At 36.1% G+C, this 23068-nt stretch overlaps 2 protein-coding genes across 8 annotated transcripts in view; one reads left to right on the forward strand and one right to left on the reverse strand.

Annotated features, from left to right (window-relative positions):
* The window catches only part of BORA (BORA aurora kinase A activator), a 28274-nt gene extending 23366 nt beyond the window's left edge, over positions 1–4908 (forward strand). For all 4 annotated transcript variants that reach the window (NM_001286746.3, NM_024808.5, NM_001286747.2 and 1 more), the window contains 2 exons: positions 2402–2533; positions 3863–4908. In NM_001286746.3, the coding sequence (NP_001273675.2) occupies positions 2402–2533; positions 3863–3928 (198 nt within the window). In that variant the 3' untranslated portion in view covers positions 3929–4908. The remainder of the gene's footprint in view (positions 1–2401; positions 2534–3862) is intronic.
* Positions 881–23068, reverse strand: part of DIS3 (DIS3 exosome endoribonuclease and 3''-5'' exoribonuclease) — a 29732-nt gene continuing 7544 nt past the window's right edge. For all 4 annotated transcript variants that reach the window (NM_001322348.2, NM_014953.5, NM_001128226.3 and 1 more), the window contains 15 exons: positions 22658–22771; positions 22396–22533; positions 21405–21551; positions 20871–20987; positions 20507–20608; positions 19793–19857; positions 19616–19700; positions 17497–17624; positions 14684–14770; positions 12163–12319; positions 10635–10849; positions 10358–10526; positions 10075–10233; positions 9241–9363; positions 881–8590 (listed from right to left, as the gene is read on the reverse strand). In NM_001322348.2, coding sequence (NP_001309277.1) covers positions 8507–8590; positions 9241–9363; positions 10075–10233; positions 10358–10526; positions 10635–10849; positions 12163–12319; positions 14684–14770; positions 17497–17624; positions 19616–19700; positions 19793–19857; positions 20507–20608; positions 20871–20987; positions 21405–21551; positions 22396–22533; positions 22658–22771 — 1890 coding nt within the window. In that variant the 3' untranslated portion in view covers positions 881–8506. The remainder of the gene's footprint in view (positions 8591–9240; positions 9364–10074; positions 10234–10357; positions 10527–10634; positions 10850–12162; positions 12320–14683; positions 14771–17496; positions 17625–19615; positions 19701–19792; positions 19858–20506; positions 20609–20870; positions 20988–21404; positions 21552–22395; positions 22534–22657; positions 22772–23068) is intronic.

The raw sequence follows: 23068 nt of genomic DNA on the forward strand, positions 1-23068 counted from the left end.
TACCTGTACTCCAGTGTTTATTGCTGCACTATTCATAATAGCCAGAATATGGAATCACCCTAAGTGTCCACTAATAGATGAATGGATAAAGAAAATGTGGTATATATACACAATGGAATACTATTCAGCCATAAAAAATAATGAAGTCCTTACATTTGCAGCAACATGGATGAACTGGAGGACATTAAGTGAAATAAGCCAGGCACAGAAAGATAAATACCACATGTACTCCCTCATGTGGAAGCTAAAAAGGTTGATTTCATAGAAGAGTATAGAATAGTGGTAGGTAGTAGAGGATGGGAAGGGTAGGGGGAGCAGGGATAGGGAGAGGTTGGTTAATGGATACAAAAGTACAGCTCGATAGGAGTAATTCTAGTGTTCTATAGCTCTATACGGTGAGTGTAATTAACAATTTATCGTATATTTTCAAATAGCTTGAAGAGCAGATTTTGAAAGTTCCCAACGCAATGATAAATGTTTGAGTTAATGGATATGCTAATTACCCCAATTTGATCATTACATATTGTAAACATATCAAAATATCATGTACATCATAAATATGTGTAATTGTGTGTCAGTTTAAAATAATAATAAAAGCAAAAACATAAGTAGTAATGGAAGGCAAGGTCCTTTGAATGGTAACAAACAAGGGGGACTGAGAATGATGAGGGAAGGGCTAAAGTGCTGGGCCCAGATGTCAAGGAATGTTATCACAGGGCACAACTGTTGCCAATTGAAAGTTTTAAAAGACAATGACATCTGATTTATGTGGTAGAAAAATAAATTTAGTAACAAAGTGCATGTTAAATGACTGACATAGAGACACCATTTAAAGGCACCATGACCCAACTGGAATATAAAGTTTGCAATTAGAACCAAGTTTGAATTAGAGTTCTTTTATTTCCAGGCTGTGGGATCTTAAGGCAAGATTTACATAGCAGTGAATAGAACATGACTTTTTAATTTTTGTCCCCTCATCCTTCTTAGCTATAAAGTGAGATTGATGCCTGCCTTGATGCCTGTGGGGGATAACAAGGTATCTGTTGCCTGGTTGGTACATATTAGGCATTGACATTAGCAGAAGTCTAGATGAGAGACAGTGAAGTCAGCCACCATCTCAACTTGGCTCTCATCAATCCTGCTCTTCCCATAGTGTGGGACAAACTCCCCGCATGCCTTACTTCCTGCTGTACTAATGAGTAACTCTTCCCTCCATATATATCCAGTTACATATTAGTATTGCATTATAAGCCAGCTATTTGGCAGTGATGAATATTAGAAGGAAGAGCTATTGGCAGAATCTCTGGGAGCAATCTGACATTTATATTTTTGATCAAGTAGCTATTGAATGATAGCAGAACAAGGCTTTTCCCCAAAAATGTTACACATCACAAGGCTTTTGTTCTAATTGGAACATGACCTCTAGTAGTAAGCAGATATGTATCCAGCCTTGAAATCTGGGAACATTTTTTCAGGATTATTAAGTGATAAAGAGTGCCGTTTCTAGGCTAGTCTGTACCTTTGTGAGGGAAACAAAATGACAGTCAGCTTTTTCCTTCCCTCTGATCCTAACTTGCAGGGAGGGCTTAAATGCAAAATGATTCCCTTGTGGATTGCTTTCTTTGGTGCTCAGCATTATACAGGTAAATGGAGCGTTGTGCAGTGAACAGAACCTGGACTTAGGTCTCACATCTTCATCACCTCATCACTGGATGACATTGTGAAAGTTAAGCTTTTTAAGCCTTAATTTCCTTCTCTAGTAAAGTATTAGGGTTGTTGAAAGGAGAAAAAAATATTAAATATATAGAGATAGTGCCTGGCCTTTTTAGACACTCAATAAATGTTTCCAAGCTGGAAGTTCGCTAGAATCTTTCTTTTTTGCTCTTTTGCACTGAAACAGTGTATCTTAGGATGCTACAATTTTTATTAACATGAAAAGCTGAACTAACATCTAGAGCCATTATATATGTGGCATTATTGTGAACAACTAGGTGTAAATATAATATAATCCACTTTTTTAAAGGCAGCATGCCTCAAGCCATTTAGAGACAAGCCTGGAAAATGCGTTGGAAGGTGAAGTTAGTTGTAATACTCATTTTTGTCTACTAGGTACGATCACAAAATAACAGGAAAGCATTGTGTCAGTAGGCTGTTCACTGATTCTTAAGGAAGTTACAAGATATATTTCATTGGAAGGAATTGTAAAATGACTACAATAATCAGTACTATGCAGGACTACCTTTTATATTTGTGCATTACTTTTGAATTTTGTTCAACATGATCAATATTACATGTTAGGATCATTCAGATGTAGTGAATGAGAGTTTATAGTGGTTTACTTATTTAAATATTTGACTTTTAAGTTCCTCACAATATATTTTTTTCTTTTTTCTCCTGTCAGATGGATAGTGGCTATAATACGCAGAATTGTGGAAGCAATATTATGGATACAGTTGGGGCAGAAAGTTACTGCAAAGAAAGTGATGCACAAACATGTGAAGTTGAGAGTAAATCTCAAGCATTTAATATGAAGGTACGGAGAAAATATAGTGAAAGCTTAATATTGTTTAGATTAGAAATATAAAATAATTTTGATTATTAGACAATAGTACTATTGAGAAACTATATGAAATTTAAAACACTAAAAGGTAAGCCTGTTTTCTTAACATCCAATAACCTTTAAATATTTTGGTTACTCTGAATACACAAGTATCTTACATACTACAAAGTGTGCAAAGGTAGCGTGTATTTGATGAGGGCATTTACTGAACCTTCCAGGTGGTGGTTATATATTCATACTTGAAGAAACTCATCATAATTTCAGGCACTAGTCAGGACAGTCTTTAATTTTATGTGCCAATTTTTTTTGCATTTTATTTTTTTGTAGAGACAGGGCCTGCTGTGTTGCCCAGGCTGGTCTCAAACTCCTGGTGTCAAGCAGTCTTTCTGCCTCAGCCTCGCAAAGTGCTGCGCGATTACAGGCATGAGCCAACATGCCCAGCCTTGTATGCCGTTTCTTTTTTTTCTTTTTTTTTTTTTTTGAGACAGGGTCTTACTCTGTCACCCGGGCTGGAGTGCAGTCGTAGAATCAGATCACTACAGCCTTTAACTGCTGGGCTCAAGCAATCCTCCTGCCTCACCCTCCTGAGTAGCTAGAACTACAGGTGTGAACCACCTTGCCCTGCTGTTATATGCCAGTTTCTTATAAAATACTATAAATATCAGCAAATGTGCAACAAATGTTTAATAGGGAGGCCACCTTAGTTTTCCTTTCTGTTGTATGTAGTAGGAGCAAACTGCCTTTCTGTTGTATGTAGTATCAGAGCAGGTCTCTTCTAATATTAACCTGAACAAAATCCATCCTATTTCAGGATGCAGTTGTCTATCTAAACATAAGTAGAGATAAATGAAGGATTTTTTTAAATTTTATTATTTTATTTTTTTTGAGACAAGGTCTCATTCTGTCACCCAGGCTAGAGTGTAGTGGCACGACCACAGCTCACTGTAGCCTTCACCTCCCAGACTCAAGCAGTCTTACCACCTCAGCCTCCTGAGTAGCTAGGGCTACAGGCATGTGCCACCACACCCAGCTTTTTAAAATTTTTGGTAGAGACAGGGTCTCACTATGTTGCCAGGGCTAGTCCCAAACTCCTGGGCTCGTGCGATCCTCCCACCTTGGCCTCTCAAAGTGTTGGGATGCTTTTTGATGCAGAATATTGATTTATAAAATACTGTATCTTTACTGTCCCTTCAGAGTTCAGCTAAAGAAACGTGCTTTTAGGTTTTAAAAACAGTCCCGATAATTGCATCCTCCAGTGGTCCTACTTAAACTGAAAACAAGGTATTGTCTTCTTTTTCACAGCAAGACCACACAACACAGAGGTGTTGGATGAAAACAGCAAGCCCTTTTCAATGCAGCAGTCCATAGAATGCCTCTGTCAGAATCAAAGACTAAGCTTAAGAGTTCCTCGCATATATCGTTGTGCACAGGATCAACATGATGGTGACTGGGAAAAAATTACTTCAAGTAACATGCTTAGCTTTCCCTCCTTAATGTGAAAAATCAAGGGCTTACTGACATAGGAACAACAGAAATGCTCCTGGAACTTCAAGTTGCTGAATTATAAGTTTATTTTTTATCAATAAATATTTTTATACTTACATTGAGTGATGTGTTTAACAACAAATTGTGACAGAGCTGAGTGCTCCTATCTTACAGGGTCAATGAACTACTTATTAAGCCTTACTGGTAGCACTGAATTTAGCAGTTCTGAGAACATGTGAAACTATGTTAAAACTGAAGGCACTATATATTTTTACATAAAAGCTTGAACATACAGATGAATTATAACCTATGTGAAGAAATCTTAGATATAAAACTAACTTTTCAAAGATACAAAAGAAATTAAACAGGTTTCCTGAAATTTTAGTTCTTGGTCTGTTCACCTCTGTGGGGAAAATTCTTAGTTCCAGTGATAACTGTTCTAGTTACTACTTTTAAGTATGTAAATACTAGAAAGGTAGTACTAGTGACATCATCACGTGTATTGTTATCTATGGGGCAAATGTGTGGTGCCCAGAATAAAATATACCTCATGCCTAGGGTAGGGACATCCTTTCCAGCTCAAACGTGGGTAGGGATGTGGGAGAATAAGAATGTGGGAGAACCAAGAGAAAAAGTGGGGCTGGGAGAGTGGAGTTCCCGTAGGGCATAGGCCTGTGAAGTAACACTGGGGCAGATATGTATGTTATATACAACTATTTTTTTAAAAAACTTATATCCATGTTGGGAGTAGATGGGTATATAACAGTTTGGAAATACTATCTTTGGAGAATGTATTTTTGTATTTATAAATCAACTTTTAAAAACTGTCTCATTCAAAAGGGAATAAAGACCTGTGTTATCAATGTGTCATTTTCTTCTTTCCTCCATAACTGTACCTTGAAACCTTACTGCTGACCTGCAGAAAATGTGCCGCGTTATGTACCTGGCTCATCTTCAACACACTAACCATGAACACTAATAGCCATTAGGGGACATGGCTACAGATACTACATTGGAAAGTTGTCTTTAATCACACAGGTGTTAAACTCAATATAAATTTACCTAAAAACAATTGCTATACCTAAAAGGAGTTCTGGGTACTAAGGGTAGAAGCCTCACTGGCTACAGTTTTTTAATAGTACAAAAGTCAAGAAATAACACAATAGTGACTATAACCTGTATTCAAATCCCTACTCTGTCACTACTTGATCTGGGCTGATATGGTATGGCTCTGTGTCCTCACCCAAATCTAACCTTGAATTGTAGCAATCCCCACGTGTCAAGGGTGGGACCAGGTGGAGGTAACTGGATCATGGGGGCGGTTTCCTCCATGCTGTTCCTGTGATAGTGAGCCGGTCTCATGAGATCTGAAGGTTTTATAAGCGTCTGGCATTTCCACTGCTGGCAGTCATTTTCATCCTGCCGCCCTGTGAAAAAGGTGCCTGCTTCTCCTTTTTCTGCCATGATTGTGTAAGTGTCCTGAGGCCTCACCAGCAATGCGGAACTGAGTCCATTAAACCTCTTTCCTTTATAATAATTACCCAGTTTGGGGTATTTCTTCGTAGCAGTGTGAGAACAGACCATAAACCTCCATTTTCTCATCTGTTAAATGGAGATAACAGTCCTGGCTTAACAGGGCTTTTTGAGTTAAGTGATATATTCCACGTAACCTGCTTAGCATAAGAACTGGCACTAGAAACAGAACATTTTAGATTATGGAATAGAACTTAGGGGAAAATAGCAAAGTCTCTGATCATCTTGAACTACTCAATTGGGACTTATCCCTGAATTAAACCTTTCTAGTAGCTGAAGCACAAGAAAATAAACTTGGAAAGAAAAAACCTAAGGCCAGTCATGCACTGCCCTACTTCCCTTTCTTCTCTATTGCAGGTTAACTATGGCCTGTAGGCAGTTTTTCTTCTCTTTTTTTTTTTTTGAGACAGTCTTGTTCTGTCACCCAGGCTGGAGTGCAGTGGCGCGATCTTGGCTCACTGCAACCTCTGCCTCCCAGGTTCAAGCGATTCTCCTGCCTCAGCCTCCTGAGGTGGGATTAAAGGCACTTGCCACCACACCTGGCTAATTTTCTTTTCTTTTTTTTTTTTTTTTTTTGCGATGGAGTCTCACTCTCATCATCCAGGCTGAACTGCAGTGGTGCAATCTCGGCTCACTGCAACTTCCGCCTCCCAGGTTCAAGCGATTCTCCTGCCTCAGCCTCCCAAGTAGCTGGGATTACAGGCATCCGCCGTTACACCCAGCTAAGTTTTTGTATTTTTAGTAGAGACGGCGTTTTACCATGTTGGCCAGGCTGGTCTCAAACTCCTGACATCGAGTGATCCACCCGCCTCGTCCTCCCAAAATGCTAGGATTACAGGCATGAGCCACCGCACCTAGCCGGCAAACTTTTTTAAATGGTTGGCGGGGGTGGGGGAAATCAAATGAGTAATGTTTTGTGACACATCAAAATTATAATGATGTGCTGCATAACTTTTGGTCAACAATGGCCAAATATACGATGATGATCCCGTAAGATTACAATGGAGCTGAAAAATTCCTATTGCCTGGGGACACAGCCATGGTAACATCATAGTGAAATTACTTTATGTAGCCTAAGTATATAGTGTTTATAAAAGTCTACAGTAGTGCACAGTAATATCATGGCCTTCACATTCACTAACCACTTACTGACTCACCCAGAGCCAGCTTCCAGTCCTGCCAACTTGTTCATGGTAAATGTCCTAAATAGGTGTACCATTTTATATCTTATATATATCTATATATATATTTTTACTGTACCTTTTCTATGTTTAGATATGTTTAGATACACAAATACTTAGCACTGTGTTACAACCGCCTACAGTAATCAGTACAGTAATATGCCATACAGGTTTGTAGGTTAGGAGCAATAGGCTATCCCATATAGGATACCATAGGGTATACCATCTAGGTTTGTGTAACTACATCATGATTTTCACACAATGATGAAATTGCCAAGTGACATGTCTCAGAACATATCCCTGTCATTAAGTGACATATGACTATATATGAAACTTAACAAATCAGGCCTTGTTGAAACACAGTCATGTTGATTTGTTTACATATTGTATATGGCTCCTTACACACTATCAACGGCAGAGTTGTGTACTATAGTTGCAATACAGACCATAGCCAACAAAGTCTAAAATGTTCTAGCACTTCACAGAAAAGGTTTTTTGACTCCTACTCTACTGTTTCAGTGTCACTGACCCATTTTACCTGGACCAAAGACTACTCAAGTCTATTTTCCTCCAACTGACACAAGTTTCTGCCTCAGTGTATGGAGGTTTTCCTCAGTAATAGGAAACTGGAAAAATTAGTCAACATTTATTGAGTGCCTAAATGACTACCTATTTAGTATACCTGCTGATTTACTTGGCAGGCTTTTCTCACTATACTGCAAGCTCCTTGAAGGCAGAGATAATTTACTTGAGTGGAACCTGGCACAACGTAAGTGCTTTAGAAATTGAATAAGCCAAGTAAAATGTTTTAAGGCAACCCTATCCCAAAATATTCCTGAAGATATTAATTTAATCATTACTAATCTCTGTGATTAGCAAGGGAAGTAGTCAGTCTGGCACACCAAATTTTATTAATAATACTTATTTTAATCTGTTCCCTTTAGTATGTCTTTATACAGTTCCCCTCGTGTATATACACTGATATAACTACAATTTAAAAGCCACTAATTAATCTGTTTTTTATTTTGTAAGTAACAAGATATAGACATTTGAATGCCAATGTCTTATTCTGGAGAGACACTGGAGCTGAAGTTCAACAATGATCACACTTATTACCTGGCAATAAAAACACAACCATCTTTCCAGTCAGGTCAAAATATCCTACTTTTTGCCTTTCTACCAATTCCCAAACATTCACAGTTTTTCAAGGACCACTAATAAAATACAGGAAGCTTTTAAAGACAGTAAGAGAACACCTAGTGTAAGTTAGGTGAATTAAAGATGGCAAAGGAGATTACATCCTCAACACTGACAGCTTCCAAGACTTAGAAAAGAGATTGTTCCTTGCTTCTAAAATTGTTCTATTTTCCTCTGTAGGAAAATGAAAGTTTTTTCTTACAAATATTAAATAATCAAAGTACTTACGCAAAATTAATCTGCTCCTCAATGAGATGAGCACTCCATTTAAATGATCTTTACAGATCCCTGAAGTTGCTGTCCTGTCACTGTATTTAAGTGATGGATATTCAATTGAATTATTCTGCATAAATAATTCTGTTCAACCCAGAAGTATAGTAGTATGATGGGTCAGATACAGTCAACTGTTCAATAAAAATGCAGATGTCTGAAATTATTAAAATGTACTTAAAAGTAACAAACTGTATCACACACTTAGGCTTAGAAGTGTTCTTTCAAGTTTTTTCTTTTAAAAAAGAAACCAGTCTTTGAAGATTTTTGTTGAATATAGCTATTTTCCAAGCTTCATCTTCTTTTTCTTTGGTCCATTAAGGTCCATGTTTGAAGTATCAGTAGGAATGCTTATTCCTGGTATCTAAAGTAATGCAAATGGGGGGAAATAAGGTGATTTAAAGGATAGAATACATCTCAACCTCATCCTCCCCTTCCCCACTGCCAGCTTCAAATTTAAAAGGATGTAGTGGTAGGGAGGGGAAAGGGGGCTAATTAAAGGTTTTATACACAGAAGGTATTTTACAAAGTAGCAGTGGTTCAAAAATGTAAAAGCTAGACATGGTCTCAACAGGTGAGAAGCATGTCATTTAGGAAGTGTTCTTTTTAACTACAAAACAGCCTTCCCAATGGGGAGCCACTGTGATTGACAGAATCAGAGTTGATTTCAAGTGTGTTGGGGAAGGACAAAAGTTAAGAACCAGTATCTTAGGTGAAACACCTACACTTCATCTTCAAAATGCAGAGTTCAAAACTTCTAGATAGAAAAGACTAGGCAGGAGAATGGAAGACCTTTTTATTTTAGCACCAAAGACCTGAACAGAATCTCAGATGTCTAGAATCCCGTGGCCTAAAGAAATCAGTGAGAAAACAGGATTTGCTATGCAAATATTTGGTTTCTACACTACTTACAGGGTTCCCTCTAACATTAAACAGAAATAACTACGTCCCTTCTTTGACAAAATATGTACTGTTTGTTCCATCACAACAAGGAAATTTTAAGTTTGGCCTTACCTGTGGTTCTACCAGGGACATTCGGATCTTCTGATGTTGAAGATTAGATGAGTCTAACATGATTTTCACTTTAACTTTATCAAATACATGGAACACTGTATCTTCTATTTTAAGTGAGGGTATCTAAACAAAACACATTTTATCATTCTTAATTGCTTCCTTACATTTGAGGCTTTGTTCTAATCCTTTACAATTTATCTTACATAGTAGAAGTTTAAATATAAAAATTAGTAAGCATCTACGTGTTCAACATAACAAAGGCCACAAACCTAGTAGTCTCATATAAATATGACCTACTTATGTGCTTACTTTCTCCTTCATTAAGGTATTTCTAATATATATGTTCATTAAATTCTTGGTGATTAATTAATCACCCCACTAATAAATAGGAAATTTTTAGTCTAGTAGAGGAACACAAAGGTATTTTGGCCAGTTTATTGTTCAAATATTCTCTCAGGGCTGTGGTTCTCCTAAGGAGAATAGGGAGTATGTGTGTCAAATAAGAAACACTAGAAGTAAGTTTAAAAAAAAAGTTCCTTCCCCGAGTTATAAAGAGTCATTTATTGTTCCATGTAGGGCAAAACTTTACATGGTATAAAAGAAAGAAATCAAAGACAACAATTGCATATGAGAAGACATATAGTGGTGAGAAATTGTGAGTAAAACCATAGTTTAGTTGGCAAAATTAAATGTAGATTTTCTGGCATGTATTTGGAGATCAGGATAAATTCTTCAGGGTACAAAAAATAATTTTATGCTTTATAGGTACCATTTATGAACTCTCAAAGAAAAAGTGCCCCCCGGAAAAGAAAACAAACATGAGAAATACCGTACCTCATCATCATAAATAAGCTGTGGGTTTGGTTTGTCCTTTTCTTCAAAAAAGACTGTCCCTTCTAAACCATACTTTGGAATTAATACCACAATGGCATTCTTTCTTACAAATAAAATATAGGCTTCTTCACTTACTATTCCTTTGCTTTTGAAGAATAACTGTAAAATAACATACAACTTATTTAAATTGTCTTAAAAATTTTTAAATAAACAAAAAATTGAAATTAAATTAAAAATGAACAAAACTTCATTTTTTCTAGCAGTATCGACAAAAGGCAAATACCTGGGTATGAAAAGCCACTGATGCACGTTGGGCATATTGAGCCATTTTGTGCCGGAAATTTAGATTTTTACATATATCTGCAAGCTTGTGTTTGTCTGTCAACTCTGGATAAGTACAGTCAGCCCCAATAGCCACAGCCAAAAGCCGATGAACAATGACATCTGCGTATCTAGATAGATGGAAAAATAAGAACCATGGTATGTCAGTACTAATATGTGCTTTTAAAATTCAAAATTAACCATTTTCTATCTCCTTTAATTTCATAAGGAAAAAATACCTTCTAATGGGTGAAGTAAAATGTGTGTATATTGGAGACGCTAAGCCATAGTGATGAAAATCATTATCCATTCCAGAACAGAAGTACACAGCTTGCATCATACAGCGAGTGGCTAATATTCTCAACAGAGTGTTTAGATATGGAAAAGTAGGAGATTCGGCCTGATCCAAAGACTCAGCCAAAGACTTGGCTGTATCAGTCTTAATTTCCAAATTCTGTAAACAAAAAGGAGGGAAGAGCACCATATTAAACATTTCTAAGTCAGTACCATTATGTCTTCAAAATATAACTGATCTGACTGAACAAACATCATGTTTTTGTTATTTTCCTTCCCTTCAAAGTAGAAGTAGTAGCCAGAAACAAAACTGTACTGGTCACTACAGTTCTGTCAGAACAATGTTCGGATTCATCAAATTTAGCTGCTTTGTTCTACCCTAGGGAGATGAGTCAAATATACATCTCTTCTCTTAGGTCTTTGGAAGAAATAAGACAATGAAGGAAAAAATCCCTATTTACAGATTAAGGCTTGGAGCAGAGGAGTGAGAAGCTGATTCAATTCCTATGAATCTGGAGAAGCTGGGCATGCATGCCGTAAAGGTCTGATCCAAAATCAGAAACCAATGCCATCATGATCGAATAATGCCCTGCAGTCCAACATTACTGCTCCCAGCTCTCTTCTAGATGGGAAGGATAGGGCCTAACCAGGTAATCCAAGGAAAAGCAATGTAGGCCATAGTCACCCAAGGGGTAAGCACCCCTAAATGAAAATCTACTAACAAGAAGTAGTGGGTATACAGGGCTGAAAAAATGTGCCCTTTCTATAGTTTCCTCTTTTCCATGTATGCAATAAATATACTTTTCTTACGAACAAGAAATGGAAAGGATTTAACTGAGTTGAAGTAAATAAATAAAAAAAAAAAATACATTATTTGTAAAGTCAGGCAGTTGACAGGAGCCATGAAGCAACATAGACATATGAAACATGCATAAAGACAAGGAAACATGGAAGAGTTTTATATGACCAGGATGCTGCATAGATCTTAGTCTAAACATCCAGCTTTAGCATAGGGTGCTCTTTAAAAACATTAGGCTGGGTGCGGTGGCTCACACCTGTAATCCCAGCACAGCACTTTGGGAGGCCGAGATGAGATAATTACTTGAGTCCAGGAGTTTGAGACCAGCCTGGGCAACATAGTGAAAATCTACCTCTACCAAAAAAATACAAAAAATTAGCCACTCATGGTGGTGTGCGCCTGCAGTCCCAGCTCCTCAGGAGGCTGAGGCGGGAGGATGGCTTGAGACTGGGTGGGAGGTGGAGGGTGCAGTGAGCCGAGATCGTGCCACTGCACTCCAGTCTGGGTGACAGTGAGACCCTGTCTCAAAAAAAAAACCAAAAGAAAAAAGAACTATTGGCATATTCTTGTATTAACAAACAATAAAACCTTTATGGAAATATGAATATAAATTATTTAGAACAACAGGTAGATCAAAACACAAATAGATGATTTTTCAAACTGTAGGACCTTACCCTTGACCTGGCTGCCTTAACAAGAATTTCATAATTTGATGGAGGTGGAGCAGGATGTTTTCGAAGCAGAGCATGTTCAGAAAATTCCTCATGAATTTTTTTTGCAACAGAAATATTGGCAAGTAACATAAATTCTTCAACCATGGAATTTGTTTCCCTGCCAATGGAAAAAGCATTAAACAAACAAAAAAGAGAATCTGAGACTTCTATATATCATATTTTTTCACAGGTTACCTTTGTTACCAAGAAGATAATAAGAGCATTTCCTATGTAAACATTCATATGTGTGTGTACATTTGTATTTTAAATAACTTATGATTCTTTCATCTCTCAGTTACTCCGCTAACAATCTCTTATTATGCAACTACTGCATGAGTAAATCTTACATGCTAGAGGAAACTTTACAAATTGCACTCAGCCAGTTGCAGTGGCTCACACCTGTAATCCCAGCACTTTGGGAGGCCGAGGCAGGCAAATCATTTGAGCCCAGGAGTTCGAGGACCAGTCTGGCCAACATGACGAAACCCTGACTCTACTAAAAATATAAAAAAATTAGCCAGGTCTGGTGGCACACTCCTGTAGTCCCGGCTACTTGAGAGGCTGAGGCATGAGAATCACTTGAACCCGGGAGGTGGAGGTTGCAGTGAGCCGAGATCGCATCACTGCACTCCAGGCTGGGTGACAGAGCAAGACTCTGTGTCAAAAAACAACAACAAAATTGCACTCAAAAACAGAAGCTTTACTACTCTATTTATAAATGAAATGAAAACAAGCATTTTTACTTGATTTTACCAGGTCCAAAAATATTTTTATTTAATTGTAAATCAATAAAGTTTACAAGAACTAAAAGCTATTTAGATCATACAAATTTTGGCTTAAAAACCAAAATTTTTAACAATAAATTACTCAAATGAAGAGACCATATTTATAATAGCTAATTTGGATACTTACAATGGGTCAGTCATTGTGCTATAAGTACATCCTGCCCTCAACACACACACCCACAAACTCTGTTTTACAGATGAGAAAATTGAGGATATATTCATTATTCTCTTGCTCAAGGTGAGAGTTACTAGCAGTATGAGAATTTGAGTCCACACAATCTGACTTCAAAACTCTTAACCAATCTGATACTGCTGTGATTCTCTATATAGTTATTCACATACATTTTTCGGTTAGTTTAGTAAATGATCCACCTTCTGTTGATACAGTGCTTTCTGTCTTGCAAGTCAATGAACACATATTATTAACCTTCCATTTAAGTTTCATCTTGTAACTTCTTGACAATATTTCTAAAGTATATTCATTTTAAAAATATTAGAAAGACCTCCAATCACATGGGGACATCTCAGAAATGTGTTCTTTCTTCTTCTTGGTAAGAAGAAATGGCTGATATTTTACTTTGGCAAAGCTAGTGTCAACCTGTTGCTCATAAAAGCTCTTAGTACTGGGCTCATTATTAGCATTAATATTAAACATACTTACACAGAAGTTCTACTATAAGGGATTGTTAGATATTATAATAGCACGCAAGCACATATTTACTCTAAGTAAAAAATTTGAGTATATTCCCATTTTTAACCCTTGGTCATCTATTAGAAAAGTGCATATGCATGTTGAATTCCAAAATTACCTTAATGTAAATAAGAGGCAGGGAAAGAGGCCTAAACCCTGATTTAACAAAAAAATTCTTGTTTCCTACATCTTAACTAAATCAATAAACAACAATAGCTAATATCACCCTCACAGCACCCTATGAGGTAGGTGCCATTATCAATCATAGGCAATTTACAGACAAATAAATTGAGGCATGGAGAAGTCAAATAACTACTTTAGTGGGAAATATAATAGTAATAACAGCAGAGGGATCCAAACCTAGGGAGTCTGGCTTCATAACCCATGATCTTCACCATTATTCTACCCTACTATCTATCCTACTATCTATTATTCTATCCTACCCCCATCTTTCTGGCACCAGGGACGGGTTTCATGGAAAACAACTCTTCTATGCGACAAGGGGAGGGAGGGATGGTTTCATCAGGCATTAGATTATCATAAGAAGTGCACAACTTAGATCCCTCCTACACACAGTTCACAATAGGACTGGCGCTCCAATGGGAATCTAATGCTGCCACCGATCTGACAGAAGGCAGAGCTCAGGTAGTAAAGCTCACAGCCCAGGGGCTGGGAACCCCTGCACTACAGTATATTCTACTTTAGAAATTAATTGGGGTAATTTTTTTTATCTTACTCTAACTATTACTAGTCAAGTTCTAATACATCACACATCAAAGCAAACAAATTCAAATTGAAAGTTTTTCTATTATGCGACTAAACGCAGTTTTATAGAAGAAAAACTGAGCTTAAATTTACTTTTCTGTCCTTTGCAAGCCAAATAAAGTAGAAATCATGACCCTAATCATTATTTTGTATATAAACGTTTTCATTATTTGTACTTACAGTAGACATGACAATTAAAATAAAAAAATCTTATCTAATGCCCATCAAAAAAATTACAAACCTAAGTTCCTTGGTCTGCAGATCTATAGGATCGTGAGTTTCACTGTCCATGTGGAATCGAACTTCAGGAGAGGATAGAGTCAAAGCCCTACATAAAAATTAAAGAGAAAAATTATAGTCAAGCAAGCCAATAAAAGACAAAAGTATAGAAATTATTCTTTTAAAAAAGACAATGACTACAGCAAGTGTGTAATAGTTGCTCTTCTGAAGGCTTTATGACCATCTGCTGTTTCATGTTCTATTTTCATAAACAGCTCAGTAGAGCTTTCATGAACAGCTCAGTAGATTTAAAATGCATTTAACAAGAGAGGACGATAGCAACACAAGGAAATCTGAATCCCTGTGCTTCTGAGGGTTATATCTTCTGTACCCAAACGATGAGTTTTTATTGAGCTACACAGGTTTTTAATCACTTTTACAAATAAAGAAGGGGATTGATTGTATTTAATTTACTACAGAAAACAGTTATTGGGGCAGGGGACAATAAAGAGGGGCAAAAGGGGAAGCTGCTGTGGGTAGCTTAGTAACACCAGAAGATCCACAGTTCAAAAGTATCTTCCACAAAGACTGAACCAAAAGAGAAGCAACTGATAACCTAGTATCACTAATAGGTTACAAGTAGTGATGGCTATTAATATTTGATTGCTAAGTGTCAGATAAACAATCCATGCTCAGGACTTTACACACATGGTTCATTTAATGAGCTGGCAAGTTCCCCTTTGGAAAGTAAATTCCCACAAGGCAAGGCAAGTCTAATGTTTCTTACACCTTGACATAACTTTCATGAGGTCAGCTCCAAATCAACCTAAAACTAAAAATTTTAATGAGACTGGGCAACCTTGAACAATCATGGAGAAGGAAAAGAAGGGGAAGAGAAAAATTAAAATAAGATGGAGCAAGTTAAAAGAAACACTAAGTCTAAGTCCTTGTCTTCTTCAATTCCTCACCTTTATTAAAAGAACTATAGTAGGAACACATACTAAAAAGAGAATCTCAAAAATATTCCTTTCTTGCCTTGTAGTGTGCACTTAAAACAAGGCTCTACTTCAGGTCTGATATGTATTTATTAATGGATTTTGACATAAAAAGCAAGGTATACTTATCACATTTTGATCATTTTTCCTCATAGAACACCTAAAATGTTATGTCTACCCATGAGTATTAATACTTTAGAAGGCAAAAGACGGTTTTTTTTTCTGATTGCTTTTTCAATTCTCCCTAAGACTAAAATGATTCAATGATGTTTTCCCAGGAGGCAACCATCTACTTACCAAATTAAAAATACAGACTGCTGAAATTAAAAAATATCCTCAGTTTTAAAAAGCTATGTTACAAATGCGAATTCTTACTTTAAAACTATTAAAATAAATACAGCTTCAATTTGCATTTTATTTACATTGCTTAAAAAAAAAACTTTGTGGTGTTTTGTGTCACACAAAAAAATTCAATTATCTTCTTCTTATATACAAGTGACAAGCTTGAGTGAAAGTTTTGCTCAAGTTTAATAGTATCCACTGGGTTTTAGCATGCCCAAATGATCCTTTCTGTTTCAAGTTTCATATTTAAGATCACATAAAAAATTCCCTGAAAACTGAGGTGTTAGTAGACATAGGTACATAACTACCTCAAACACTGTCCAACAGAACGTTCTGCAGTGATGGAAATGTTCTATGTGTGCCCTGTCCAATGTGATAGTCATTAGTCACATGTGGCTATTGAGCACTTGAAATATGGCTAGTAAGGCTGAGGAACTAAGTTGTTAATTTTATTAATTTTAATGAATTTAAATAGGCGCATCTTATGAAATGACACAAATGTACAATCCGCACTCACCACACCTTTAGTAACTGCTTGTGACCCTATCCTAGAGGGGCTTGGGAACTCTGAGACCAACATCTGGAAGGTTCATGTACTTGGTTTCCTCTGATAGTCAACAACGTCTTTTAAGAGTCAAATTTCTCTTAACTGGTTTCCTTCAACATGCCTGAGTTAATACTCTATACCTTACGCCTTTTGTAGTTAGGCAAAAGCCATGACATAACAGCTAAAAGACTCAGATCTGTTACTAGTCAGATCTTTGGGAAGACTCCTTTTATGCAACTTTTAATTGCCTAAAAAATGAGGAGGTTGAATTAAATAATCTCCAAAATTTAAAGTGCAAGGAGGACCTAATCTACGTTTATTTAAACCTCTGAAACCTAATGTCCAATCTGGAAACTCATTTCTAATTAAAATTAGAAACAATTTCCAGAAATCTTAGGGTGTTCTTGCCTTCCTGGAATTTCTTCAAGATCTTTAACTCAAACACAATTTTTTAACACAACAAATTACAAGGATGGAACTCCTGAACAAACATCAGTCCAGAATCAAGTTGCTAACATTTAAAAGGAAGCTAGAGGCTGGGCATGGTGGCTCACACCTGTAATCCCAACACTTTGGGAGGCCGAGGCGGCTGGATCACCTGAGGTCAGGAGTTCAAGACCAGCCTGGCCAACAAGGTGAAACTCCATATCTACTAAAAATACAAAAATTAGCTGGGCGTGGTGGTGGGCACCTGTAATCCCAGCTACTTGAACGACAGGAGAATTGTTCGAATTCGGGAGGCAGAGGTTACAGTCAGCCGAGATTGTGCCATTGCACTCCAGCGTGGGTGACAGAGTAAAACTCCGTTTCAAATACATACATACATACATAAATGGAAGCTAGAAGAAACAGGAGTCTCTATTCACCCTTTTAAATAATTCATCATTGCCTATGATCAAACAATGTAAAGAGTATAAAAATTATCTTAATACTATGAAAAACAAAATATACCCTTTTTCAATCCTTCTTTTCTTCAGAATTTTGGCTAGTTTATTCAGTCCACGGAGACTAGTGGTAATATCATCATTCATGTTTGCTGAATCAATTCTCAACTGAGCTTCAGCATACGTCAGAGATGCCTAAAAAAGAAAATGTATGTTATATAATTCTTATAAATGATAGAAAAATGGTTTTCAATATGTCCTCCTACTTTCACTACATAAAATCCATGATTTCAGAAAACCTAAAATCAGTAACAAAATAGAAATTCTTAGCTATGATATTATACTTCACATCTATGATTTCTGGTTCATTAATTCTTATCTGAGGCATTATACAACATAAACAAACATATTTTAAAAGGTAAAATGGCAATGTTGTTAGCAAATAAACTTTAAACTTTACTTGTATATTCCAATTACTGTATAAATACCCAGATAATGCTAAAATAAAACACAAAGGTAGGTTAGATCGATTCCTTCTCTGATAACAAATATGAAATCCTTTCCAGATGATCATTATTCCCCTGCAAATAATTAAGACTGCAGGAGTCGAGACACCATGTTTTGCAGGAAATCCAGTAAATACCCAAAATTAAGCATGTAAAAACCAGACAAATGATAGTAGAAAAGAGTTAAAGTAATCCCCAATGAAAAATAACCAAAATATACAAATAACTACTTCTGTTCCTATTTCTCTCAGAGAAATCCATCATTTTTTTTCCTTTTTTTTTTTTTTGTTTGTCTAAGGAGTAGCTTCACAAGTGAAAATAAGAAAGAGCATAACAGAGTTAGATAACGCAGGTCAGGTCGGATTCCTGGGAGAGCCAACTCATCTACTAAAGGCTAAGAGTTTCCCCTCTGAAAAAGGTTTTATGTTATATATTCACTAGGTTTGTTTTCATATAATTTTGTTATACTGACCAAGTCTTAAAGAATTAAAAGTCATTCTTATTTTAAAGTACAAACTGTGATGGCTTAAATAATTCACACATCATTATTTACCAGTCTAACACTGTTTTCTTTGCAACCACTGGTTAGCAGAACAGCAAGAAGGATGCCAAAGGGCCAGAAAAAACAGGTTAAGCTTGGAAAACAGATCATTAGAAGATAAGGGGTTTGGCAAATCTTGAAGAAAGATGTAGGGCAAAATAAGAGAGAACATAAGGGATTTTTGGGAGAAGTACAAAGAAACAGGAAAAGGACAAGAAAGATAACCTGGCTCCATTATGAATAAACATGATCTCAGGCTAGTTCTACTAAAATCCAATGGTGACTTAAACATCATTTCTGTGAGAAAATGTGAAGAAAGAAGTGGTGTACCTGCTGACTTTTAAAACACTAACCATTTATAAGTAGGAACAGCTTCAATTACTAGGGTTCTTGAGTTAGGGCATAAAACCACTAGTTGGTCTTTTCAAGTATATATTCTTTGTAAGTTTCTGAATACAGGACAACTGCAACATGAACTAATTTCTGAATCACATCAAAAATTATCTGCTTATAATTGGAAAAAAAAAACCCTCAAAATTTTGCTATAACAGTGCCCCCATTCTATCCTGAGGGCACAGACCTAGCCCTTGTTTTTCTGCCTAGAAAGACTCTTCCCCTCCCACCCAAACTGAAATACATTTGTCTGTATCCACTTTACATGTTCAAAAGAGCATCTAGCTTGACTGAAAAATTCTCAAGAAGTGGGCAGGAATCTCAAATTTAGGTGATGGCAGTAGGGCTGGGGCTGGTTACTTTGGCTTGGTACTAGCTGGGTCAAGAAAGCTGGCAATAAGACTCTGGTGGCCTGTTCTGCATTCTTCTCTGAGAGTAGGTAGCAAAAGGGCCAAATGAGTTTTAGTGTAAATTTAAGTGCATCTGTACATGTTTAAGCACGTGCCCGCAGCTGGGGACTTTTTTAGACTATGTTTATATCTCAGGTACTTACATGTATATGTTTTTTCTATTTTAGGTTAAGTAAATATACATATAATTATACATAACATCTCTTTTCAAATATATAAATATTTTTATATATGTGTATATATACGTACATGTGAATCTTTAAAAAATTTATTTAGCTTTTTTCAAAAAAGTACCAAAAAGTTTAAAAATTAGAGATTAATAGCCATGAAACGAACCTTTGAATTAATAACACTTTTGGTAAACTTCGTTTTTAAGATTTCAGCATTGTGATTCATTTCCCAAATACATGAAAATGCCAGCCTGTGAAGGAAAATACAGAGTATTTGTTAATGGGAATCAGGTTAAAGTAGTAAATACAATGTCTTCAAGGAAAAAAAACCATGCAGAAATACCTGTCCACGTCACATTTTAAGGAACACAAGTTAGAGCTAAGCAACTCTGGAACCATGTCAATCCTCTGCAAAAGATAAAAATAGAACCACAGATTACTTAGCCATAACCATACATTTATGTGAGGTTCTATTCTCAAATAACATTAATTAAACAAGGAAAGAAAAGAGTGTTCTGCTTTTTGTAAATAGGAGAATTGAGAAAAGGTCAAATAAAAGGTTTGTTTCTATAAAAGCACTTATACAAAATTGTTAAAGAAGGAAAGCTATGAAGGAAAACTGGACTTCATGCCAATTAATCTAAGTTTAAGCCCTCTACACTAACGACCTAGCTGTCCTCTGAAAGTTTTAAATCTCTGGTCTGTATAAGTTTATACTTGATACCTGACACACTCTATGACTGGACCTTTCTCCAATGCTTAATATAAACTACAAGGTGTTTTTAAAATACTAAAAAAAGAAAAGAGAAACTAAATTTTTATGGAAAAAAGTATACAGAAGAACTCTGACAATAAATCACTAATAGACTAAGTTTAATCTTCCCCTTGACTTTCACAATACTTTACTTGTTATTTGAACCACTCGATAACAAAAATTTGCAATATATTTAGTGATTTAAAGCCACATTATTCCATGTATTTTTCTTAGCTAATTCATGGCCGTTTAAGAATCCTTAAGTGTCCATGACTGTTAAATTTTTAAATTCAATACATTTACCTTTTCACAAAGATACACAGTTGTTCCTCTTCTGGCTGATTCTTGATCCAAGGCATTTCCTGGCCTAATAAAATGGCTCACATCAGCAATATGAACACCAACCTTAAAAAGATAAAAATAAAAGGATGTCAATATGCTTGACTGGGTAAATGTACCTAATGGAGTTTTAATAAGATAAAGTTTAGCTAAATTTAAAAAAGACTCAGTCACCTCTACCATTTCAACTTCTGACATATGGCCAATAGCGTGCAGCTACAATTATACTTCACAAGAGTAATTAACAAGCAAATTCTATTCTAGTTCAAAAGAAAATGAACTCAGAACAGAACTATATTTAGGTAAGAACACTATTACATATGAATACCTCCAAATTTCCATTTTCGAGTTCTCGACAATGTAGAGCATCGTCTATATCAGTACATCCTGGTGGGTCTACACTACAAATACACAGATGCCTCAGGTCTTCTCGGTTTTTCATGTCCTAGAAGACATGAAATGATAAACAAATAAATTATTTCCAAAGCACAACTACAACATATTAATAGCTCTTGTGAAATCAGTAATATGTATACAAAAACAATTTAGCTGTATTTTCTTGATGACAACCACATTTCTTTTTCCTGCACTGGAGCAGAGAGACACCACGTATGATTTGTAACTAATGGTTTCCTTCCCTTTGAAACATTTAACATATGAAAGTGTCTGCCACATAGAAAAACTTACCCTTCAATGAAGAAGCAAATGACTTCTTCTATAATTCCTAAGAATGCTATACCCAACAAAATGCAGGAAAAGAGGGCCCGTGGTGTCTACATATTTAAAAACACATATAGAAATTAAACAAAACTAGGCAGGATATAATAATTTATAAAGTCACTACAAATTACTTTCAACTTACCTTTTCAGTAATGCTCCAGGGCATCTTTGGCAGAAAACTAAGAACAGCCTGTGAAAAAGGCTGATGGGGAACATCGTGTTCAAGTAACAAAACTTCTGTTTCAGTCTCTTTCTCTCCAACATCACCTAAATTTCTCACAAAGTGTCCCTGAAACCAAGAGGCATTATTAGAAACGCCTATTTTATAGCAAATTTACATCTTATCATATTAAATTCTTCAGCATTTACATATCTTCTCAGTATTCCTAAATATTCCCATAACGATTTCTGAAAAATGACCCTTTAGTAAATTAGACAAGACTTCTCAACTGATTTATGATGGAAACTTTGTAAGGGTCCAGCTCTTACATTCTAAAGCATCTATTTCTTATTAATGTTCAAGTTTAAAATGTGCTTCCAATATAATCTTTTCAAAATTTGTTGATTAGAATCTATATAGAACTCACTTTTCATAGTCATGATCAATAAAACTTATAGGTTTAAAAACTTACATAAAAGAGGCCAGGCACATTGGCTCATGCCTGTAATCTCAGCATTTTGGGAGGCTGAGGTGGGTGGATCACTTGAGGCCAGTTCAAGACCAGCCTGGCCAACACAGCGAAACCCTATGTCTACTAAAAATTAGCTGGGCACGGTAGTGCACGCCTGTAGTCCCAGCTAATCGGGAGGCTGAGACACAAGAATCGCTTGAACCTGGGAGGCTGAGGGTGCAGTGGGCCGAAATCACAGAACTGCACTCCAGCCGGGGCAACAGGGTGAGACTCTCTCTCAAAAAGAAGAAATTTACATAAAAGTAACCAAATGATTTACACTGGAATTTCATAAAATTAATTTTCAAAGTAGACATGCTACTTACCAGGTCACTTTGTGAAATATCTCTAAATTTCAGTACAAATTCTACATAAAAGTAGATTGTTTTTATTAAAAGCAGAAATACTATTCACAAAATTTTAATTAAACATCCCCACATAAAATTAATACTTTAAGCTTACATTTGGATATCTGGAATTTCTGGGCCAACCATCAATAGCAACAATAATTCTCCGTCCTTCTAATGTGGAAGCCTGTCTGGTTTCTATGCGAATTCGAGGGATTCTCTTATCAGCAGGTGTAAAGAGATGTCTTCTTGACTAGCAAAAATTAGGAATAAAGATTTTACACAAAAAAAATCTGAGGATGGAGGCAAAAGAAAGGCTATAAGTTCTATTAAATGTTTATCATTTTTTTATTACATAGTAAATGCTCTTTACTCACCTCCTTAATGTCAGACTTGGAAAGCATGCCACAATATGGTCTCCAATTCCTTTTTATTATTCCTACAACTCTACCTGTAGGCTTCAACATTTTCTCGCTTACAGCAGTCTTAAGCTGAGATATAAAAATTAAAATGTTCAGTTATATTCCTCTAAGTATTATCAGGCAATTTCCTTTCAAAATCAAAATGCATACATGGATACTAATCCATTCAGGCAGTAAATTATGACATAAGACTACAGAATGTTGATGTTTCAACATTCTAGACAAGAACATGCATGCCAAACCAAACCACAGACATTCTCTCTTGATAATAAAGTACTACAAAACAATCAAAAAGCAAAAACAAATAAATAAATATAACTGAATACGTATGTTAGAACTCAACACTTTTCAGGATTAACATGAGGA

This window comes from Homo sapiens, chromosome 13, assembly GCF_000001405.40.
Source record: "Homo sapiens chromosome 13, GRCh38.p14 Primary Assembly".
NCBI lineage: Eukaryota > Metazoa > Chordata > Mammalia > Primates > Hominidae > Homo > Homo sapiens.